Source organism: Homo sapiens, chromosome 16 (assembly GCF_000001405.40).
Source record: "Homo sapiens chromosome 16, GRCh38.p14 Primary Assembly".
NCBI lineage: Eukaryota > Metazoa > Chordata > Mammalia > Primates > Hominidae > Homo > Homo sapiens.
In genome coordinates this window covers 56085919-56108956 of record NC_000016.10, presented here as the reverse complement: position 1 = coordinate 56108956, position 23038 = coordinate 56085919, and the positions used below count along the sequence as shown (strand labels likewise).

At 44.2% G+C, this 23038-nt stretch overlaps 1 long non-coding RNA gene across 1 annotated transcript in view, besides 1 other annotated feature; it reads left to right on the top strand.

Annotated features, from left to right (window-relative positions):
- Positions 1 to 15970, top strand: part of GNAO1-DT (GNAO1 divergent transcript) — a 98108-nt gene extending 82138 nt beyond the window's left edge. Inside the window, exons 3-5 of the long non-coding RNA NR_027078.2 lie at positions 6638 to 6925; positions 7745 to 7911; positions 15439 to 15970. This is a non-coding gene — a long non-coding RNA (GNAO1 divergent transcript). The remainder of the gene's footprint in view (positions 1 to 6637; positions 6926 to 7744; positions 7912 to 15438) is intronic.
- Positions 6379 to 6879: an enhancer, noted in NCBI's record as "H3K4me1 hESC enhancer chr16:56135990-56136490 (GRCh37/hg19 assembly coordinates)". NCBI's record gives its function as "activates a minimal SCP1, AML or CMV promoter by ChIP-STARR-seq in primed H9 embryonic stem cells {active_cell/tissue: H9 hESC(primed)}" and the evidence as "EXISTENCE:reporter gene assay evidence [ECO:0000049][PMID:30033119]".
- Positions 15971 to 23038: the final 7068 nt, after the last annotated feature.

Below are 23038 nucleotides of genomic sequence, written 5' to 3'. Positions count from 1 at the left end.
TTCTGCTATCACATTGTGTTTGTGATGTCATGAGTGGTTACCATGGAGGTAATTATCATGATGTGGGAGATGTGTGAATTCAGGTGTGGAGAAACTTAGCAGCGAGAGATGGGTTTTTGAGAAAAAGAGACAAATCCCCTTTCATTCCAACTTCCTTAGTAACAAAAGGGTGAAGCAGAAAAAAAAGGAATGTAAATACGATGACTGAAATTTAGCTTTTGAACAGCATGTCTTTTATTTTTTGCGTGACATATTGGAAAGTCTTTTATTTATTTGTTTTTTTTTTTAAATTACATTTTGATCACATATCTTGGAGTATGGTATTAAAAATAAATGTTATGTTCTTTCTTGGAGAAAAAAAAATGGCTTGTGATAGCAGAAGAGAATTCTGTATTATGAAGTCCAAGGAGAATAGGAAAATCTTTTGAGTGATACACCAGGAAGCTTAAAGGTGATATGTTTTCACCTAGCTGGAAAAAAAAAGCTGCTGCAATCTGCAAAACACTACAAAAATAAGAGGCAGCCAAGCTAACAATGCAGCCAGACTGGCTTGCTGCTGGCATTTGACAAGCTAGGGAAATGAGACTGCAAAAATCCACAGGGAATTATTCTCCCCTTCATGTTAATGAAGTACTGTACATATCTTTCTTGGGACCAGGGGCGGTGGGGGTGAGGACCCGGGTGCTGCTGAGCAAGTATTTTAAGGAAATGATCCAGAATCCCCTGCCTCTGGCTTGGAATAATCAATGTCATTACTGCTTGTTTGGAAGCTTTGTCTTTTCTTGGAAAGGACCCAGGGCTGGCAAACTCAAGTAGTCAGTGTGGTGACTGGTGAGAGAGGGACCCTGCTGAGGCAAGTGCAGGGAGGCTGAGTGCCCTTGAGCATCAGATTCTGAGTGATAGACCTGGGTTCAAGTCACAGCTTTGCCCCTGTGGATTTTTTCTTTGACTTTCACCAAGGTCCTTAATTGCCCTGCTTTCTTATCCTGTTAATCAAAGGAGACTATTGTAACAATAAATATATTGGATATAAAACATATATTTTTATGCAGGCTACAAATGCAAGGGATTAGACCTTATTAGGGGTTCTGTGTCAGCACAAAGATATTTAGTTGTTTTCTTGTCACCTGGTATCTTTCATGACCTTCAGGGTGCAAGTGGGCACTTTCTTTGGTGAGAATTGATACTGGCAGCCAATGCTCTGTGGCACTACTTTGGTGAAAGGAGGATAATGACCCTAGGCAGGGGTCAGTTCCTGCAAGGTCAAGTGCAAACTCCTTAGCCTGGTGTTTGAGGCCTTCCCTAATTACTTCCCAACTAAGCTTCCCAATCTCATTTCCTTACTCCATCAAGTGTACCCTTTGCCTTGGTCAAATCTGATTTGTCACTGGATATGCCTCTGGCATTCCTTGTAGTTGTTTCTTCTGTTCTTACCCAATCAGTTCTAGCTAGTCTCTGTTCATCCATCCTATATCAATCCCTCCTTGTTATCAGCACCTGCTACTCCTGTCATATATGTGTTGTGCAGGTTGTGCACTGCACAAAGATGTCAGGTCAGTGTAGGGGGACATGGGCTTAAATCCAGAATCCAGCCAAGTCACATACCCTGCTGACTGAGGTGCCATGTCTGCCTAGAGGAAAGGCACCTTTTTCTAATTAGAAAAAGGCACTGGAGAGGGTAGGGGTGGCTCTGTGTGTATTGATAGAGTTAAATTTTCATCTATGTTTGTTCTATATTTTCTTGAAATTATATGCTCCTTGAGGACTGAGGCTTTGACTTTTTGTAGATATTGCACATGAAATACACATAACTTTGTTTTGACTTATAATGAGCACAGCGAGTTCTGAGTAAGAGATGGTACTGGAAGCTCCTTGAGGACCGAGCTTACCCATTTCTCTACCTGTCAATCCATCTCCCATAAATTCCCTGAGTGCTTGCTTATCTGTAGTAACAGTGGGAAAACATCAGTACCATTCTCTTTTTAAAATTCTTCAGTGCCCATCTTGGTTTCTATGTGCAAGTGAGATACTTTCCCCTCTGAGGACTCTGAGACTGGGTTTTAGATGAGGCTCTTGGGTCTGGGCCAGCATTTTCACCTCTTTCTGGAGGAACATTGCACTGGGGCTTTGTGGTGGGTCGGAAAAGTGGGCCTGTAACTTACTGCTCACAAAAGGGTCAGGATGTGCTCTGTGTGCTGAGGACATCAGAAGGAGAGCCATGTGTCTCTGTCCTCACGGTGTTCCTGGATCATAAGTGGGGAAAACGGACATGTAAGCGAGTGGCCGTAAAACAATACAAGAGGCACTGTAGCAGCAGGAGCTCGTACAGGGGCCTGTGGGGTCACTGTGAGGCAGCAGAGACCTGTCTCCCTGCATGGGGGGCAGGCACAGGTGGAGTGACTGGAGAGAGAAGGTGGCTTTAAGTGGTGATATGAAGCAATCTGGTTCATGTCCATATCTTCCATTGCAGTCTGTGTGCAGATGACTCTCAAAATGCATGTCTCCATCCCAGACCCATCCATCACTGTTATTTCCACTTGGAAGCTTCAAAGGCTCCCTAGACCCATTCTGTCCCAAACAGATCTCAGGATCTTTTCACCCAAATCCAATCATCTTCCAGTGCTCCATCTTTCCAGATGGCACCACCCATCCATCTGCCTTGGTAAACTGGCTTGGTCAGTTCATTTGCTCCGTTTTCAGCTCCCAGTCCAAGTTGGCATCCATGTGTCTTGCTCAGAATGGAGGCAATATCTACCTCCTTGATGGACCTCCCACATCCACCCTGAGCCCTCCAGCCCCTTCTCACTGCAGCTGGAATGACCATTCTGAAATGCAAATCTGCTCACGTCACACGGTCCCCAAACTACCTCCCTCCCAATGCTTAAAACCCCTTAATGCCTTCTACTTTCTCTTAGGATAAAGACTCAAATCCTCAGCAGGGCCTCTAAGGCCCCTCATGATCTGGCCCCTGGAGACCTTACCAGTGCCCCCAGCCCTGTCCCGAGTGGCACCAGTCTGCTCACAGGCCCCCAGCCCAGGTAGCTCCCTCAACCTGGAATACTTTCTCCTGTTGCTGCCATCCTCCCCTCCCACCCCCGTTACCTAATTCATCCCTTCTCATTTTTCAGGTTTCAGCTCAAATATCACTTCTTCAGGGAAACCTCCCTGGATCCCCCTGACTGCTTCAGCCCTTCTGCCTAGTACATCTCAGAGCACATTTCCTTATCAAATATCATGGTTTGTAATCACACATTTATTTTTGTGGTTATCTGATTGATGTCTGTTTTCCCTGGAAGGTTGGGAGCTCCAGGATCCTGCTGGGTTTGCCTTTACTACATTTCCAGTGCCCAGTGCAGTGCCCCAATACACCTTAGAGTCTCAAGTAAACATTCATTGAATGAATAGATACATGAGGGTTGTTCAGGAACAGAGAGCCACCCCTTGGGGCTGCCATGTTGGTTATGTGAGAGGAAGCGGCTAGAGGTGAGGTTGGGAACAAGCCTATGGCTGAGATGGTGCCCTCTATGTACAGGGGCACTGTGCAGCCTGCAACCCAAGGACATGACTAGTCAAGAGCTGTGTTTTAGAGCAGAAGCTCTGAGAGGAGTGTGGGGTGGAGGTGTGGAGGGTAACTCGTCTTGGGACCAGGGAGACACATTAGGAGGCATCTGATGCAGATGATGGGAATCAGGACAGTGAATGAGAATGGAGAAATGGGAACAAATGCATTTAGTATTCTCTATTTCCATCTTCCCCCTCCTGTAAGGGCAGCAAGGGATCAAGGAACTTTACATTACTTCAACATTTTTAACCTGCCTAACCACCCTCACCAATGGTCAGGGGAAAAATCAGAGGGGATTTGGAGTCAGTGGAGTAGTGGGCAGTGGCAGAGTCACAAATCTGTGGTTTTTCTCCTTTCTCAGGCAAAAGTGGCCTGTTGGAAGGTTGGGAGGTATCTGAGTCCATTTGGGTTGCTGTAACTAAGTATCTTGGACCAAGTGGCTTATGAATGATAGACACTTATTTCTCACAGTTCTGGAGGCTGGGAAGTCTGAGAGCAGGGTGCCAGCATGGTCAGGTTCTGGTGAGGACTCCTCTGGGTTGCAAGCAGCTGACTCTCATTGTATCCTCACCTGGCAGAAAGAGAGCAAGCTAGCTCTCTGACCTCTTCTTCTAAAGGCATTAATCTCATTCATGAAGGCTCCACCCTCATGACCTGAATACCTCCCAAAGAGGCCCTGCCTCCAAACACCATCACATTGGGGGTTAGATTTCAGCATATAAATTTGGAGGGGACACAGACATTCAGTGCATAACAGTAGGAGAGGGTGTTTTCAGGACCTGCTGCCCTGAGCTGATGGTGAGTTGGTGTGTGAGAGGGTGTGACATCCAGGGAAATTACTCTTGGGTTGGACATTTCTGGTCCTCCTAACCTGATCTGAGATGTCCATCATGGTGGCTTGCCTTCACTGAGATCCCTTGAGTGTCTTATAATAAAGAATATTTCAAAAGGCTGATAGTACCAAGGGCAAAGTGGGCTTGGGACCAGGAAGACACATCATGCATAAGGACGAGTATTTGCCTCACCCTAGGTTTGGAGCCACCCCTATTTTGCTATTCTTTTTAATGCTTCCTATAGTCTGAATGACAAAGATAACACTAGGGTGATATAATGGTTGAATTTGATAGAATGCAAAACTTGATGCTACTAAATTTCAATTTTCAAGAATATATGTTTTATATATCTAGCACCCTCTTCTAGAATGTGACCGATATAATAATACTGCTGTGTTAATAGTGTTTATGGCTAATGTAGCTTATGTCATTTGACATTTTAACTACAAGTCAGGCTGCTACATTTGGCTGTGCAAGTTGCGCATTGCCTAGGTCTGGTGAGCTCAGTTCATGTAGACTCCTGTGGGCATGGCACCCCCTGGAGTTGTGCAAGGTGGCAACCCTGCCCATGGAGTGTGCAAGGTGGGCATTAGCCTTATTTTGCTGGCTTAGAATGGTAAATGCCTCATTCAATGTCATATGACAATTAAATACTGGCATTGCTGCTAGGGCCTAGCTTTACGATCTAAGTCTAGTTTTTTGTTTGTTTGTTTGTGTTTCTAGAGATAAGGTCTTTCTCTGCCACTCAAGCTGGAGTACAGTGGCATGATCATAGCTCACTGCAGCATCAACCTCCTGGGCTCAAGCCATCTTCCAACCTCACAGCCACCTGGGTAGCTGGGACTATGGGTACCCACCCCATACCCGGGTAATTTTCATTGATTTATTTCTTGTATAGACGAGGTCTTACTATGTTGCCCAAGCTGGTCTTGAACTCGTGGTCTCAAGGGATCCTCCCACCTTGGCCTCCCATAATGCTGGGCTTTCAGGTGTGAGCCACCACACTTGGCCCTAAAAGCAGTCTTAATTTTTCTGTACCTCATTGCCTCCTGGATGATGGGTGAGTGAGTATGTGAGTGAATAGGGTAAAGATGAAGCCTCGTTTCAGGAGTCAGATATGCACACATGATGTGATTTATTTTGCAGGCCCCTGAGCTCCACCGGCAGAACCAGCTGTCCTAATCTGCAGCCCTTTACCTGGACCTCACCCATTCTCAGATGACATGGCCTTGAGTGTCTCTGCACCTCCCTTCCTGAACCCCTTGCATCTTCCTGGTTACTCCTCCTTTGCCTGTCCTGTTCCCTCAGGGCCTCGCTTCCAGCTACTAACAGGTCTTCCTCTCCCACAAAGTGTGCATTAGTAAAGTAGTAAATTATAATTTCAATAGGGAAGTATGAAAGATAAAACAGCCTTTACAACACAAAGGAATTAGTCTATAAGGGTGGAATTCGTGGCTGGGTTGGAGAGTCATGAATCTATGAATTTATGTGGGAGAGCAGGAAAGAACCATATAAATCACATAATGCAGATGAGGAAATAGAGTTCCCAGAGAGTTAGTGGGATTGCTGGGTGCCAGAATCCACAGTTTTTCCATTATATTAGGTTAGTGCAAAAGTAATTGTGGTTTTTGCCAATATTTTTAATGGCAAAACCGCAATTACCCTTGCACCAACCTAATATCATATTTTCTTGATCCATTTTAATTTGGGGTCTTCCCTGACATCTTTTTCATCTTACCTGGCTGAGCGTGGCCCTGCATTTTGACCATGTGGTCCCCATCACTGGTTGGGGGAGCAGGAGGGCAGTATGAAGGGGGAGAGGCAGTTTGGCCAGCAGTGTCCTGGACTCTGGCGTGACCCGGGATCCGTGCTTTTAAATGCCATTATGAAATGCAATTCAGTGGAGAGCTCAGCCTCTTCCCATCAGACTAATGCAGCCGTGGTGGAGAGGCGGGGTAGTGGCTGGCTGCCTAGCAATCGCCTGGAGCCCGGCAGAGGGATTATGCCCGCTCAGGCAGCCTCATCACCGTAATAAAATGGGAGTTATGCTTATCGACTCATCAGGACTGCCCATTTAGACGATTACCCCATTTCCAATCCCATTTCTAGAGAAAAGAGGATTGCTGGACACTTCGTCCCACCCCCACCCCTGGCAGGGCTGTGTTCAGCCCTGGCTTCTGGAGGGGACGTGCTAGAGACAGGCACTCAGCCAACTGAGAGTTTTACCCTCTTTGTCTTCCAGAGCTGACAAGCCATAGCAGGACGGCTATCCCCTGAGAGATAGGAGAGGAGGAGAAACAGCCTGACAGGGGCCTGGAGCAGCTGGCTGGCGTCAGTAATTTCCTGCAGGAGACTCTGCTGGCCGAGCACACATCACCCTTCTGTTGCTCCTCTGTATTCTCCCTTGTGCTACTAAAATACGCTAATGTAACTCCTGGGCTGTGCTAAGCTAAATGCAGTTATTTAACCTCATTTCTATGGAACCCAGGTCTAAAGCAGCAACATCTATTTGGAACAAGATGGGGAGGAGGTAAGCCCCAAACATCCCTGAGCAGCAGGAATACACATTACAAAGTTTCTCTTTCCACACAGAAGAGACTTCTGGGCCCTTGCTTGAGACCACTGACTTTTACTTAACACCTAGGTCTAGTTAGCTTGGTGAACTGCTTTCTGACACCTGAACAGGTTGGAAGCAGGGAATCGAAGGTGAGGAAAGACTGCCACAAACAGGAGCCAAGAATTAAGAGCCAAACCAAGGAGGTGACATTCACGACGACAACTGTGGATGGAAATCCTGCCCAAAGGGGGATGTTGGATGAATGGCTCCTAAGTCCCCTTCCAACATTTCAGTTCATGGCTCTGAGTGTCCCTGGTTTGATTGTGATGGTAAAGGCAGATAAGAGGGCGAGGGAGACCTCCGTGGAGAGCTGGTGCCCAGCAGGAGGTGTGGCCCTGTGTTTTAGTGCTCAGGAATACTTGCCTGCTTTTGCTGGAGTCCTCTGGGCTCAATATGTGCTCTTGACCCCCACTTCATTTTTTTTTTTTTTTTTTTTGCCAGCAAGAGTGAATTCATGCTCTTCTTCATGGAGGTGGATGTTTCTGGAAGGAGGTTTGTGATGTCCTTTGCAGGGACATGGATGGAGTTGGAAGCCCTTATCCTCAGCAAACTAATGCAGGAACAGAAAACCAAACACTGCATGTTCTTACTTATAAGTGGGAACTGAATGATGAGAACACATGGACACATAAGGGGAAATGACACACACTGGGGCCTGTCAGAGCTGAGGGGTTGTGGGGAGAGGGAGAGAATCAGGAATAATGGCTAATGTATGCTGTGCTTAATATCTAGGTGATGGGATGATCTGTGCAGCAAACCACCATGGCACACGTTTACCTATGTAACAAACCTGGACATCCTGCACATGTATCCTGGAACTTAAAATAAAAGTTGAAGAAAAAAAAAAAAGAAAAAGTTTTGTGAAGTCTGGAGGTGTAATGGACAGACACAGGCTTAGGGTGAGGCAGGCCCATGTTCAGATCCTTGCTTCCTCACTAAGCTAGCAGGGAGACTGGCTATATCACCGAGCCTCAGTTTCCTCACCTGTACATCTGCTGTAGAAGTGGCATATCATATGCTGTCCTGGCTGTGACCTTTGGTAGCTCATCACTGCCCTTCTTACTGTTCTCAGGGTAAACCCCTTTCCAGGCAGAGTTGCCAAGACACCCAGTAAAATTTGAATTTCAGATAAACACTGAATAATTTTTTAGTATAATGATGCTCCAAATATTGCATGGGATATACTTAACACTAAAAAAAAAATCATTGTTTGTCTGAAATTCAGATTTAACTGGGCAACCTGCATTTTTAAATAAACTTTTAATTTTAGAATCATTTTAGATTTACAGAAAAAAATATAAAGATCGTACAGAGTTACCACACACCCTGCACCCAGTTTCCCCTATAACTAATATCTTACGTCGAGCCAGTGCAGTGGCGCACATTTGTAATCCTAGCTGCTCAGGAGGCTGAGGTGGGAGTATTGTTTGAGCCCAGGAGCTCGAGGCTGCAGTGAGCCATGATTGCACCATTGCACTCCAGCCTGAGTGACGGAGTAAGATGCCATCTTTTAAAAAAAAATCTTATGCCAGTATGATACATTTGTCACAATTAATGAACTAAGATTGATATATTATCATTAACTAAAGTCTATACTTCATTAGATTTCCTTAGTTTTTCCCCAGTGTCCTTTTCTATTCCAGGATCCTGTCCAGGACACCATATCATATTTAGTTGTCAAGTCTTCCTAGTTCCTCTTGGCTGTGACAGTTTTTTAGACTTCCCTTGTTTTTGATGACCTTGACCGTTTTGAGGAGCACTGGTCTGGGGTTTTGTAGAATGCCCCTCAATTCAGCCTGTCAGATGTTTTTCTCATGATTAGGCTGGGGTATTATTTTTTTGGGAGGAAGACCACAGAGGTCAAGAGCCATTCTCTTCACATCTCGTTAAGGGTCTGTACTGTCCATATGACTTACCACTGTTGATGTTGACCTTGATCACCTGGCTAAGGTAGTGTTCATCAGGTTTAGCAACTGTATTTTCATTTGCTAAATCTGTAACTCGATTCCAGGCCTGTCAGTCTTTCATGACCAGACCTTTGCTTACTGCTGCTGCCATTTTTCTGCTCCAACCATAGTGAACTGCTAACAATTCCTCTAATGAACTATTCTCTGTCTCTCTTACTGCCAGGCCTTAGGGCTTGCTCTTTCCTTTGCCTGGAATGTTCCACTCCCCCACAGCCTCCCATCCACACCTCCCCTTCACCCGATTAACTTACTTTTCAGTTGGGCTTCAGTGTTCCGCTTAGGTCTCACTCCTTCCGGGAAGATTTCTTGCACCCTCCTCTGCCAAGACCAGGTTAGGTGTTGCTTCTCTGCCCTGGTCCTACTGTGTTGTGATATTTACCATCCTGTGGTTGTGAACTGTTTGCTTGTCTCCCTGACCCCAGTGCATCCCTGACATCTTACACAGTGCCTTGTTGCAACTCAATAAATAATTGCTGAATAAATGAATGGTTACACCAGGCACTTCAGGTAAAGCCTTTAACACACTACCTGCCTTGTAAACAGTAGATGCTCAGTAAATGCTTGTCTTTTTCAATGTAGGAAAAATAATCTTCCCTAGATCTGAGCAACTGTAATAAGTTTGTGCTCGCCCGACACCCGCAACACATGTCCCTACCTGGAGAAGAGATTCTGGAACAGTGGTCTCCTAGGATTCCCTGAGAGCCACAGTTACCTGTATCAAAGTATCAAGGAGGCCACTTAATGACAGAGATATTAGGGTAAGTAGGCTACTTTCCGTCAGTTTGCAGATTAAAAAGGCATCTTTCTCCCAGTGGAGAAACTGAATTATGAACCCCTTCGCCCAGATTTCCATAGTTGGACGCGCTGACCCATTATTTTTAGTGAAAGGGACAAAGGGACCCACCTCCTTCTCTTTTTGCTGCCCATGTGCCACACACATGTAAATGACATGTGTACCTATTGTTGCTTGTCCTTGATGATGAGTACACTTGTACATTGATATATTTATTAGTGTTTTGCTTTTCACTAATCCAGCATAGTTGTGACCCCACCCCTGAGACCTAAAGGAAGGAGACACCTCATAGGGGGTCTCAGGAATCTCTGATGAACCTTAGGACTAATTATAATTCTTTCATTTATTATAACTTCATGCCAGGTATTTTATCTGCCTCACCTCTAATCCTCTCAATAACCTTGCATGTTTTTATTCATCCCGTATTACAAATGAGAAAGCTAAGGTTTGGGTGCTTAAGAAATTTTCCCCAAGTTTTTTTTGTGGTGGAGCCAGCTTGGAGCTAGGGCAATAGACTTCAGAGTCTCAGCTCCATCCTCTCCATGGTTCAGAAAGTTCTCTAGTTCTGTAAGAGACAGCCAACATCCCCCAAGGGCTTGTGCTCATTGGAATGGCTCTCGGGTCCACTCCTCCCTTTGTATCCCCAGGTCACCTCACTAGAGCAGACCTCCATCAGTCAGTGTTTACCCACCTTCCAGAGCCTCCTTCCTGGACTCTTGCCCCCGGATTCCCCACCCATAGCACTCTCACACTGCCATCGCCCAACTCAGGATCCCAAGAATGCCCATTTTCAGCCTTATAAATCCTTTGCCTTGCTTCCAAGACCCTATGGTCTATTTCTTTTCCAAGCCTTCTCTCCGTGCATCAGATTCTTCATGAAACTTACACTGACTAGTCCCCCACCCATCTCCCTTTCCTTGGATCTTCATGGCACCTAGGTATGCAAGGCATAAAGTAGTGTAGAATGCCCTTCTGGCTTGTGTGGAACCACAGGGGAGTCCCCTGGGTTTCTAATATGGTTTTCCCATCTGGATTGACACCCCCGAAGGACAAAAACCTCTTGTTAAAAAAGTCAACTTTATTGAGGTATAACATACATACACCCTGTTTTAAGTGTTGAGTTTGATAAGGTTTGACAAATGTATACACCCAGGTAACCACCGTCACAACCAAGATATAGAACATTTCTATCACCCCAGAAATACCTCTGAGCCCCTTTGTAGTCAATTCCTCCACCCCCGACCCAGGAAGCCACTTGTTGGATTTCTATTAATATAGATTAGTTTTGCCTGCCGTTGAACTCCACAAAAATGCAGTCACAAAGGGTGTAGTCTTTTGTGTCAGCCTATTTTGGTTAGCACGATATTTTAAAGATTCCTCCATACTGTTTATTACTTTCTTCTTGCTGAGTAGTATTCTATGGTAGAGACTATACTACAACTTGATTGTCCATGTTGACTAAATTTGAGGCTGTTTCACATTTTTGGCTATTGTGAATAAAGTAGCTATGAATGTTTACACACAAGCCTTTTGTGAATGTGTTTTCATTTCTTTTATTTGCATACCTCAGAGTGAAACTTTTAGGTCGTATAGTAAATATATGTTCAACTTTGACACTGCCAGACTGTTTTCCAAAGTGATGTTTCCATTTCACACCCCTATCAGCGGTGTATGAAAGTTCCAGTTGTTTCACATCCTCACCAACTCTCAATACTGTAAGTGTTTTAAATGTTAGTGGGTATGTAGTCACATCTCATTATGGTTTTACTTTGCATTTCCCTGATGATGTGCTCATTGGCCACTTGTATATTTTCTTTTCAAAGTGTCTGCTGGAAAATTTATCTGTTTAAAATTTTCAATTTGCCTTTTTAATTATTGTATTATGAGTTCTTTTTATATTTGTATACAAGTCCTACCAGATATATGTATGAGTATTTTCTTCTGGACTGTGGATTGTCTTTTCACTTTCTTATTGTCTTTTCACTTGTCTTTTGAAGACAAGAAGTTTTAAATTTTGATGAAATCCAATTTATCAATTTTAATCGCTTTCTTTCTTTACGTTTAGTATATTTTCTGTCCTGTCTAGGAAATCTTTATCTGCCCCAAGATTGTGAAATTTTTCTCCTAAGAAACTTTATAATTTTTTTTTTTTACATTTAGTTCAGGATATGGCCTATTTGCTGAATGTCCCATGTGCACTTGAAAAGAATAATAAATCTATTGTACATTTCAAAATAGCTAAAAGAATAATTAGAACATTCCTAGCATAAGGAAAAATAAACATTGAAGTTGGTGTATATCCCAATTATCCTGAGTTGATCTTTATATATTATATGGATGTAACACATTACCACATGTACCATGAAAATATGTAGATCTATTATGTATCAATTTAAAAAAAGAACATGTATTTTGTACCTGGTGAGTGAATGTTGTTTAAGTCAGTTTGGTTGACAGTGATGTTCAAGCCTTCTATATTTTTATTAATTTTCTGTCTACTTGTCCTATGAATTATTGCAAAAAGAGTTTTGAAAAACTTCAACTATAATTTAAATTTATCTATTTACCCTTTCATTTATGTCAATATGTGTTTCATGTATTTTAAAGCTCTGTTATTAGGCCAATACCTATTTATGTTTGTTCTATCTTTTTGCCTTGACTTATTTATCATTATGAAATGTTGGTCTGGTGCGGTGGCTCATGCCTGTAATCCCAACACTGTGGGAGGCTGAGGCAGGCGGATCACGAGCTCAGGAGTTCGAGACCAGCCTGACCAACATGGTGAAACCCCATCTCTACTAAAAATACAAAAATTAGCCAGGCATGGTGGCACGCGCCTGTAATCCCAGGTACTCAGGAGGCTGAGGCAGGAGAATCGCTTGAACCCGGGAGGCGGAGGTTGCAGTGAGCCGAGATCGCACCATTGCACTCCAGCCTGGGTGACAGAGTCAGACTCCATCTCAAAAAAAAAAAAAAAAAGAAAAAAGAAAAAAAAGATGTCTCCCTTTATCTCTGATAATATTCCTTGCCTTGAAGTCTATTTTGATACGAATGTAGCTCTTCCAGCTATAGTGTGTGCATGGTGTATCATTTCCCTATAGTTTTACTTTTAAACTATGTTTGTATATATAATGTTAATTTCTTGAGGAATATAGCTGGGTCTTACTTTTTTGTCCAGTTTGACAATTTCTGCGTTATAATTTCATCATTTAGTCCATTTACATGTAATGCAATTATTGAAATGGTTGGCTTTAAGTCTACTAACTTGCTGTTTGTTTCATTTATTTTTTGTACTTTTCCTGTCTTTTCTTGAATGATAATAATTGAATGTTTTTTGTATTCCATTTTATTTTACTATTTTTCATTTTATTATTAATATATTTTATTGTTTATATTACTATTATTTCATTTCTTCTTTTTCTGTGTGTGTTTGTTCTAGCGATTGCAATATGTGTCTTTAACTACCAAAGTATATCTCCAAAAACTATGCTACTTTACATACAAGACCCTTAAAACAGTATACTTCCATTTCTCCTCCCATGCTGTGTGCTATTATTGTTACATATTTAATTTCTACATGTGTTATAAATCCCACAATACATTGTTATTATCTTTGCTTTAGACAATGATCACTTAAAGGAATTTTTAAAATGAGACACAAAATGTCATTGTGGCCCTCCAGTTAGAGTAGGGGATTATGTGGGCTAGGTTAATTAATGGAGTTTTAGCTCTGTTCCAATTTACAGTGGGTCCAGTAGGTCCTTGGACCTATCCTGTAGTTATTTCCCCAGTTCCAGAATGCATAATTGGAATAGGCACAATTGGAATAGACATAGCTGGCAGAATTTCCATGTTGGTCCCCTAACCTGTGGGAGTGAAGGATATTATGGTGGGAAAAGCCAAATGGGAGCCATTAGAGCTGCCTCTACCTAGGAAAGCAGTGAATCAAAAACAATAGCACATCCTTGGAGGGATTACAGAGATTAGTGCCACCATCAAGGACCTGAAAGATGCAGGGGTGGTGATTCTCATCACATCCCCATTCAACTCTCCTATTTGGCCTGTGCAAAAGACTGATGGATCTTGGAGAATGACGGTGGATTATTGTAAGCTTAATAAAGTGGTGATTCCAATTGCAGCTGCTGTACCAGATGTAGTTTCCTTGCTTAAGCAAATTAACATGTCTCCTGGTACCTGGTATGCAACTATTAATCTAGCAGATGCCTTTTTCTCCATACATGTCCATAAGGCCCACCAGAAGCAGTTTGCCCTCAGCTGGCAAGGTTAGTAATATACCTTTCACTGTCCTACCTCATGGGTATATCAACTCTCCAGCTTTATGTCATAATCTAGCTCCCAGGGATCTTGGTTGCTTTTACCTTCCAAAGCTATCACACTGGTCCATTACATTGATGACATTATGCTGACTGGACCTAGTGAGTGAGAAGTAGCAACCACTGTGGACTTACTGGTAAAATATTTGCATCTCAGAGGGTGGGAAATAAATCCAACTAAAACTCAGGTGCCTTCTACTTCAGTGAAATTCTGGGGGTATAGTGATGTGGGGCTGTCAGGATATCCCTTCTAAGGTGAAGGATAAGTTGTTGTATCTGGCCCCACCTACAACCAGGAAATAGGCACAACACCTAGTGGGCCTATTTGGATTGTAGAGGCAACACAGTCCTTATTTGGATGTGCTTCCTTATTTGGATGTGCTACTCTGGCCCATTGATCAGATGACTGAAAAGCTGCTAGTTTTGCGTGGGGCCCAGAACAGGGGAAGGCTCTGCAACAGATCCAGGCTGCTGCACAAGCTGCTCTGCTTCTTGGGCCACATGATCCAGCAGATTCCATGGTGCTTGAGGTGTCAGTGGCAGATAGGGATGCTGTCTGGAGCCTTGGCAGGTCCCTGTAGGTGAATCACAAAGGAGGCCTTGAGGGTTTGGAGTGAGGTCTTGCTTGCATCTGCAGATAACTACCCTTTTTTGTTTGTTTGTTCTGTTTTTTATTTTTTGGTTTTTTTGAGACGGAGTTTCGCTCTTGTTGCCCAGAAGTGCAATGACGCGATGTCAGCTCACCAGTCACCGCAACCTCCACCTCCTGGGTTCAAGCAATTCCCCTGCCTCAGCCTCCTGAGTAGCTGGGATTATAGGCATTTGCCACCATGCCCAGCTAATTTTGTATTTTTAGTAGAGATGGGTGACTTTACTAACCATGACTAATACAGCCATGCCCTCTTAGTCTTTCTTCGTTTATTCAGCCTTTTTACCCCTGTGTGTATCCGACTGGTCAGGCTGGTCAGGCTGGTCTTGAACTCCCGACCTCAGGTGATCTGCCCACCTCAGCCTCCCAAAGTGCTGGGATTACAAGCATGAGCCACCGGGCCCAGCCCACTGCTCTCTTTTTGAGAGACAGATCTCGGTCTGCTACTGGGCCTTAGTATAATAGAAACTGAATGCTTAATCATGGGCCACCAAGTTTCCATGCGACCTGAGCTGCCCATCATGGAGTAGGTGTTATCTGACCCATCTAGCCATAAAGTCAGGCATGCACAGCAGCATTCCATCATCGAATGGAAGTGGTATATACATGATTGGGCTGAGCAGGCCCTGAAAGCACAGGTAAGTTAGATGAAGAGCTAACTTAGCCCATTCTCTCTCTTCCAGAGTGGAATGCCTTTTCTTCTCCTGCCCTTGGGCATCAGACTCCAGGATCTTTGGCCTTTGGACTCTGGGACTTGCACCAGTGGCTCCCCTAGGATTCTCAGGCCCAGGGCCTCATGCTGCAGACTGCACTGTTAGCTTTCCTAATTTTGAGGCTTTCAGACTTGGACTGAGCCACGCAGCTAGGTTTTCTCATTCTCCAGCCTGCAGACAGCCTACCATGGGACTTTGCCTTTGTAATCATGTGAGTCAGTTCTCCCTAATACATTCATATGTATATGTATATTCTCCTCTGCAGAACTATGACTAATACAGCCATGTCCTCTTAGTCTTTCTTCGTTTATTCAGCCTTTTCCCCCCATGTGTATCAGACTGAATAGTTTTTACTGCCCTGTCTTCAAGTTCACTGATCTTTTCTTCTGCACTATCTAATCTGATCTTAGTCCTATCCAGTTAATTTTTTATTGCAGATGTTGTATTTTGAGCTCTAGAAGTTCTATTTGGATTTTTAAAAGTAGTTTCCATTTCTCTTCTCATTTGGTTCATGTTTTCCTTTAGCTCCTTGAGAGTATTATAGCTGTTTTCAATTCCTTGTCTGCCAATTCCAACATCTCTGTCATTCCTGATCTGCTTGCAAAGACTGATTTTTCTGTTAGAGCTTACATTTTCCTGGTTCTTTTCATGCAGAACATTGTGAATGTTAAGTTATTGATCTTCCCACCTCAGCCTCTGGAGTCACTGGGATTACAGGTGTGGGCCACCACGCCCTGGACCATGTGTAAATTCTCATAGTTGTTCAGTTTACAGCTTACTGGGAATTGTTCTTTTTCTGATAATTGTTCTCTGTGTGATCTTTTGGAGCCCTATCCTACAAATATGCAGCTTAATATTTAGACAAATACTTAGGGCACCCAACAAGGATGTCTGGAGCTCTTTCTCCTTATAGCTACTTCTTCTTTGGTACCGTATCCCTCAAATTCCAGCCACCTCAACCTCCCTTAACTTTGATCCTTGTCTCTTCATCTCAGGAAGGTTCCTATCTGATTGGGTTCCTCCTGTGTTCTGGGTTATAGGCAGAAATCCAGGGTTTCACCTCAATTGTTTATATTTTCACAAGCATCACAAACCTGTGATGTGTGTTGACAATGTCTGAAAGCATTAATAGTTGTTTCATACATTTTGTTTAGCATCATAAACATTTGTAATAGCAGAACCAGTTGATACCAGTGGTTCCATCATGGCCAGATGCAGAATTCTAGGAGCCACTTTACAAACTTCTCTACTTGTCCTTTTTTAAACTATGCACTGAGCACAAAACAGAATTAGAGAAGTCTCATGGGTCTGCCCACCTCTGATGTTTTGCTGATATTCTAGGACAGAACATGACATTGGGACAGGATTTTTTTTGAAGAACCAAAGCCCTGGAGAGACTGGACCTCTTCCTTTGGAAATAGACTGTCATACCTATAAGGTCTTGTCTGTCAGCTCCAAGGCCAAAGACTTAATCTTTGTATCGAGAAACCATCATAACCGGTGCACAGAGGGCCAAGTGTATGGTGACTCCAGTCACTGCCATGTGGTTGTCTGTCCTCAGGAGTAACTGGTGATTGTGTGGTCTCTGAATTTATTCTAACTACAGGTCATGAATGGCTCAGCAATCCAACAGAAAGCCCAGGGTCAGCTGGGCCAATATGCTAACAGGAGTGAAATACATTGGATAGAGAAAGATAGGAGCAAAGGATGTGGGAGATGATTATCAAACCCAGGAAGATTTCATAGCTCAAAAGTTGAACAGGGAGAAGGAAGGAGGGATGAGCATGTTGATTCATTCATTACATAATTTGAATGCCTATAATGTACCAGGCACTGGCACTGACAATTTCTAGTGTCTTCAGTGAAAGATAATGTTGACACACATATATTTCTGTGTGATTAGGAAAGGAACCAAACAGGCCATGCCTCCCCTTGTGGTTTCCATGGCTGCATCCTATTCTCTCTGCATCTTTGCAAGTTTCATTTTCCCCTCCTCACCCTGTTTCACCTCCCTGCGGTCTGAATGATCTGAATGTCTGGGCTTCCCAGTTGCCCCTCTAGAAACAGTGAGAGTATGTTCAGAGTTAGGGTAGGGAGAAGTTGGGTTGAATCAAGGAAGGAATCACAAGAGCTGGGTTAGACTATTTGTATTTAACTGACAGAGAAAATTCATATGATCTGGCCGGGCGCTGTGCGTGGCTCACACCTGTAATCCCAGCACTTTGGGAATCTGAGGCAGGCAGATGAGTTGAGGTCAGGAGTTGGACACCAGCCTGGCCAATATGGAGAAACCCTGTCTCTACTAAAAATACAAAATTAGCCAGGCATGGTGGCAAATGCCTGTAATCCCAGCTACTTGGGAGGTTGAGGCAGGAGAATCGCTTGAACCCGGGAGGCGGAGGTTGCAGTGAGCCGAGATCACACCATTGCACTCCAGTCTGGGCAACAAGAGCAAAACACCGTCTCAAAAAAAAAAAAAAAAAAAAAAGAACATTCATATGTTCTTAAGATACTGGGTGGAGCCCTCTGGGTTGAGGCCCAGTAACATTTTATGACATCACTGGAGAGGATTTTCCAGGCAAAACTGGATGTGGTAGAAAGCCCATGGGCTTGGGAGCCACACAGAAATTCCTGTTTTCAAATTCCCACTCTGCCACTTATTACCTGTGTGATCTTGGACAAGTTATTTAATCTCCTCAGACCCCAGATTCCTCACCTGAAGTGGGGATGTTTTACTTCTTAGTGTTGTTAGCAAGGTCAAAAGAGGAATGTGAAAAGGGCCAACTGCTGATGCAGGATATGTGCACATTTACTGGCTCCTTCCTTTTATGGTTTTGTTCCCTTCACTACTAAAACTACACAAGAAAGAAGATTCTTGGTGGGGGCAGGGGTAACAGTGGTACCTGTGCAGTCTCTACTTCCTCAGTGCTTCTCAGGTGGGACAGGTTGAGGCAGGGGAAGTGGCAAACCCAGGAAGCAACTTGGATTTGTCCACCTGCAGGCTTTTGGGGAAATTGAACCCAAGGGTGCTTTGGTAACATTCTCCCCGCTGTGTGTTCAGATTTCTGACCTTAAAAAGCACTGTCTCTTCTACTCTCTTCTGACCTCTGAGGCAAGCACATAGGTAATTACCTCCTTTTGGCCGGATAAGGAGACTGACTCTGATGTCATTTGTTCATGATGACCAGAGCCTTCATTATAGAGCTGTCCCACACCTTCATCAGTGCTTGGTCAGCTGCCAGCCTGCTTCCAGGAAGCTGTGGGGTCCAGACATGAAGGGTCAGATGACTGTGGTCCTAGCAGAAGCCCCAAATGCTGATTGCCTCATTTTCATCTTGTTTTGAGGACCTGTGGTTCAGATGTTTAGGAGTCCCTTTGACTACTTCACCATAGCTTTCACCCTCCTGTGATCCTGAATTCTGGATGCTGTGTGGTGATCATGGATCCAGTGGGGACACATGTGAGCCAATTCCTTGGCAAGAGCATGGCTCACAGAACATCCAACTGAGGGCTGAGAGCACTGGCTATTTTCCACCAAGGGCCATCCCTTAGTGGATGAGATTTGCTCCTTCTGAGATATTAACTCCCCAGCACTTCCAGTTTGCCCCAGGCATTGGTCAGCCTGCTCCTGTCACCAGAGGATTCCTCAAGCAGGAAGACACAGGTGTTTGAAGTAGGAAGCTGTCGTCATGTGTGGGGATTGCTGATGATGGTCCAGGGTGAGTCACAACATTTGCAGTAATCTCCAACCTGGTTATCAAGTTAATATGTAGTGTCTCTCTTTTCCTTCATTCCTTTACTTATTCTTTGATAAATATTTATTGAGCATCTATTATATGCTAGCTGCTGTGCCTGAAGTACTGGTACTGGGGATCCAGCAGTCAACAGGACAAGCTAGTTCCAGTTCCCAAGGAACATAACATCATAATAGCTTATGTTCATTAAGGTATGGACATATAATCACACAGCACTTATGACAAATGCTAGAGCATTTTTACCTATGCCAAAAACACAGCCCAACAATCTTATGTTTCCCCCTCAGTGATTTCAAGCCATCTTCACACACCTACAATCCTCTACTGCACCCAACAACCCTCTGAGCTCCATTCCCACCTGTCTACCTTGCATTGACACTTGGGTGTCTCCAGGCACCTTGGATGTGGCAAGTCCCCCAAGCCCACTCCTCTTCTCATGTTCCCTGACTCGGGAAATGGCATCACGATCTGTCAGCTGCCATGAAATGCAGGTTTCATCCTTGTTTTCTCCCACTCCTTTCCCATGCTCCCCCCATCCAAATGGCTGCTGATGGTGACACACTTACTGAGCACTTAATCTATTGCAGGCACTACCCTGAGCACTTTGCCTCTATTATCTCATTTAATCCTCACAACCCCGAAAGGTACAGAATCTCACTGTCTACATTTTACTGATGAGGAAACTGAGACCAGGAGAGGGTAAGTAAGCCACGGTTACCCAGCCAGTGTAACCAGAGCCAGGATAGAATCAAGCAGCCGGTTTTTAGAGCCTGCTGTCTTAAGTCATTACCATAGTGCTTCTCAGTCCAGTGGGCGAGACAGGCATTAAACCAAGAATTCTACAAATAATTATTTAATTACCATGGTGACAAGTGCCATAAGGAGAAGGGAAAGAAGCTTTGTTTAAGACAGCAGAGAACCCACTTAAGGAAGGAGGGAAATGTTTCTTTGAAGATGTACCCTTTACACTGAGCCTTGTGGGGGGCTTGTTCATGACATCAGCAAGAGGGGGACACGTTGAGGGATAGCAGACGTCCATCACAGATCCAGAAGGATCAGGCCATTGCCAATACCTTCACACCCCACAAACGGCCAGCCACCTGTGTTTCTTAATGTGCAGTGTGGTCTGGTCCTTTTAACTTAATTCTTTTCTGAAATGTAGACGGACAGGAAGTTGCTCTGGTGTTGCTGTTCTATGCCCTAGACCAAGGATTGGCAAACTTTTACTGTGCAGAGCCAGATAGTAAATATTTTAGGCTGTGCAGGCCAATGGTCTCTGTCCCAACTCTTCAACTGCTGTAGTAGTGCAAAAGCAGCTATAGACAATATGGAAATGAATGAGTGTGGCTGTGTTCCAATAAAACTTTATTTATGGACACTGAAATTCAAATTTCATATACGATTTACATGTCACCAAGTATTATTCTTCTTTTGATTTTTCCCAACCATTTAAAAATGTAAAAGCCATTCTTAGCTGGTGGGCCAGCCATACAAAAACAGGTGGCAGGCTGTATTTGGCTCGTGGCTATAGTTTGCAGATGCCACCCCAGACCTGTATTTCCAGCTACCCTGCAGACATCTCTCTACCCTTGCCTGCTCCACAAGCCCCCTGCAAAATGAACATCTCCAAAAATCAAGCTCATCGCTCCAGTGAAATCAACTCCTCCTCATACTCTGATGTCCATTAATGACCTGGAGTGTCTGTCCATCAGGGGATGTTGGGACAGGAAAAAATGTGTAAGAACCTCTCTGTTCTAGCCACGCTAGCCTGTTCTTATTGCTCAAATGTGCCTGGCGTACTCCTGCCTTTGCTCAACATCTGCCCCACCTCTCTCCTCCTAAGGCTTGAGTCTACTCCCTGTCAGTGTTTCATCACCTCCCACTCCTCACCGCCTCCAATCTGGCTTCAACCCCATCGCTCCACAAAAAACAGCTCCCACAAAGGTCACTGATGACCTCAGTGTTGCTAAGCCCAAAGGACATTCTTCAGTTCTCATCTTACTTGCAGTTGACACCGTTGACCACTCTCTCCTTGAAACACTCCCTCTGACTTGGGCTGCTGTTTCTCTTTCTTCTTTACGCTCTTTCACTCCACTCCTGGATCTGACGTGCTAGAATTCCTCAAGGCTGATTCCAGAGCCTGTTGAGCTTCTCCCTCTTTCTGCTGTCCTTGGCCCATCGCGCATCTGTACCTCCCAGCCTGACTCTCCCCTGAGCTGCAGCTCATATATCTAGCTTTTTACCTCACATTTCCTCTTGGATGCCTTAAAACACCTCAAACTACATGTCCAAAACCAGAATCATTCATCCAACATCCATTCAATTAACAAGCAGTTACTGAGCACTTGCTATTTGTCAGACATTGTATTACTTGCCAAGGTCACAATTTTGAGCAAAAAGAAACAGGGTCCCTGTCCCTGCCCTCAAGGAACTTGTAGTCTACTGGGGAGGACACAATATTAGCCAGATTTTCACACATCTGTCTTCGCACAGTGCATCTCTCTCTATCATAATAGCTCCTTTCCTTACCTAGGGATTGGCACCACCATCTATGTGGTCCTGAATGCCAGAAATATCCTTAACTCTTCCCTTTTCCTTACCAAAGTCCCCAAATCTACCTTCTAGTCTGGTTGACCTACTCCAGATATCTCTTGGCATCATTTCTCCCCATTCCCCCTGCTGTCCTCCCAGTCCTGACCTCCACCCTATCTCCTGCCAGTCAGGTTCATCCACTCTGGCCCTCATCTAGTCTCCACACTTCAGCTAGATCATCTTTCTAAGATAAAACTCTCACCTTACCACCTCCTATGTCTTCTCCACACAAGGACACCAATAAAAATATTTCCCATACTATCCATTGGTCTTAGAATAAATGATGGTGGCTTCTCACCAAGACCCTCAAGACCCCACCTGCCCCTGTGGCCCTGTTTCTCATGCACTATTTCCCACTTGCCACACACCAGCCTCTGGACCTGTTTCAGACCCTTACTCTCACTCTTGTTTCTCGCTTTAAAGCATGTTGCTCCCCATTTTGGGAATGCTGCGGTCTCCTCTTTCAGCGTGGATGTTTTTGACTCTTCCTTCGGATCTCATTCTGCTATCCTCAGCAAGGGCCCACTTTGAATTTTTTATTGGGCTAGGTGTTGCTGTCAGAGCCTTGGACAGAAACTCAGAGCGCCCCTCACGGCATTGGCTAGATGCAAGTTACATCTGAAGGTTTGACACTTTGGTTAACATCTGCCTCCCATGTAGTTCCCCAAGGGCAGGGACTTTATCTCTTTTTACTGGAAAGTCTGTTGTCAGCTACTAGCACAGTGTCTAACAGAAAGTAAGTGCCCAATAACTATTTGTTAATTGGATGGATACTTGGATGGATGAATGCCATTTTCCTGCCTGAAACACTTTTCCTATTTTTTTTTTCTATCCCTTCAAGGTCAGCTCAAATGCTGCCTCCCACAGGAAGCCTTTCTTCATACTCTCAGGGCAAATTATGTCCCAGCATTCATGGCCTTTTCCCTGGGTTACTGTTAAAGCTGTTGTCTTCATGGTCCCAATGTTTCCTAAGATCCAGAACCAGTCTTGATCATCTTTGTATCTCCCACTTGGCTTGTTGCCTCGGACATAAGAAGAGCATAAAGAACACTTGCAGAATTGATTTCTTTTCTTTTTTTTTTTTTTTGAGACGGAATCTCGCCCTGTTGCCCAGGCCGGAGTGCAGTGGCATGATCCTGGCTCACTGCAACCTCCGCCTCCCGGGTTCAAGCAATTCTCCTGCTTCAGCCTCCTGAGTAGCTAGGATTACAGGCGCTTGCCAC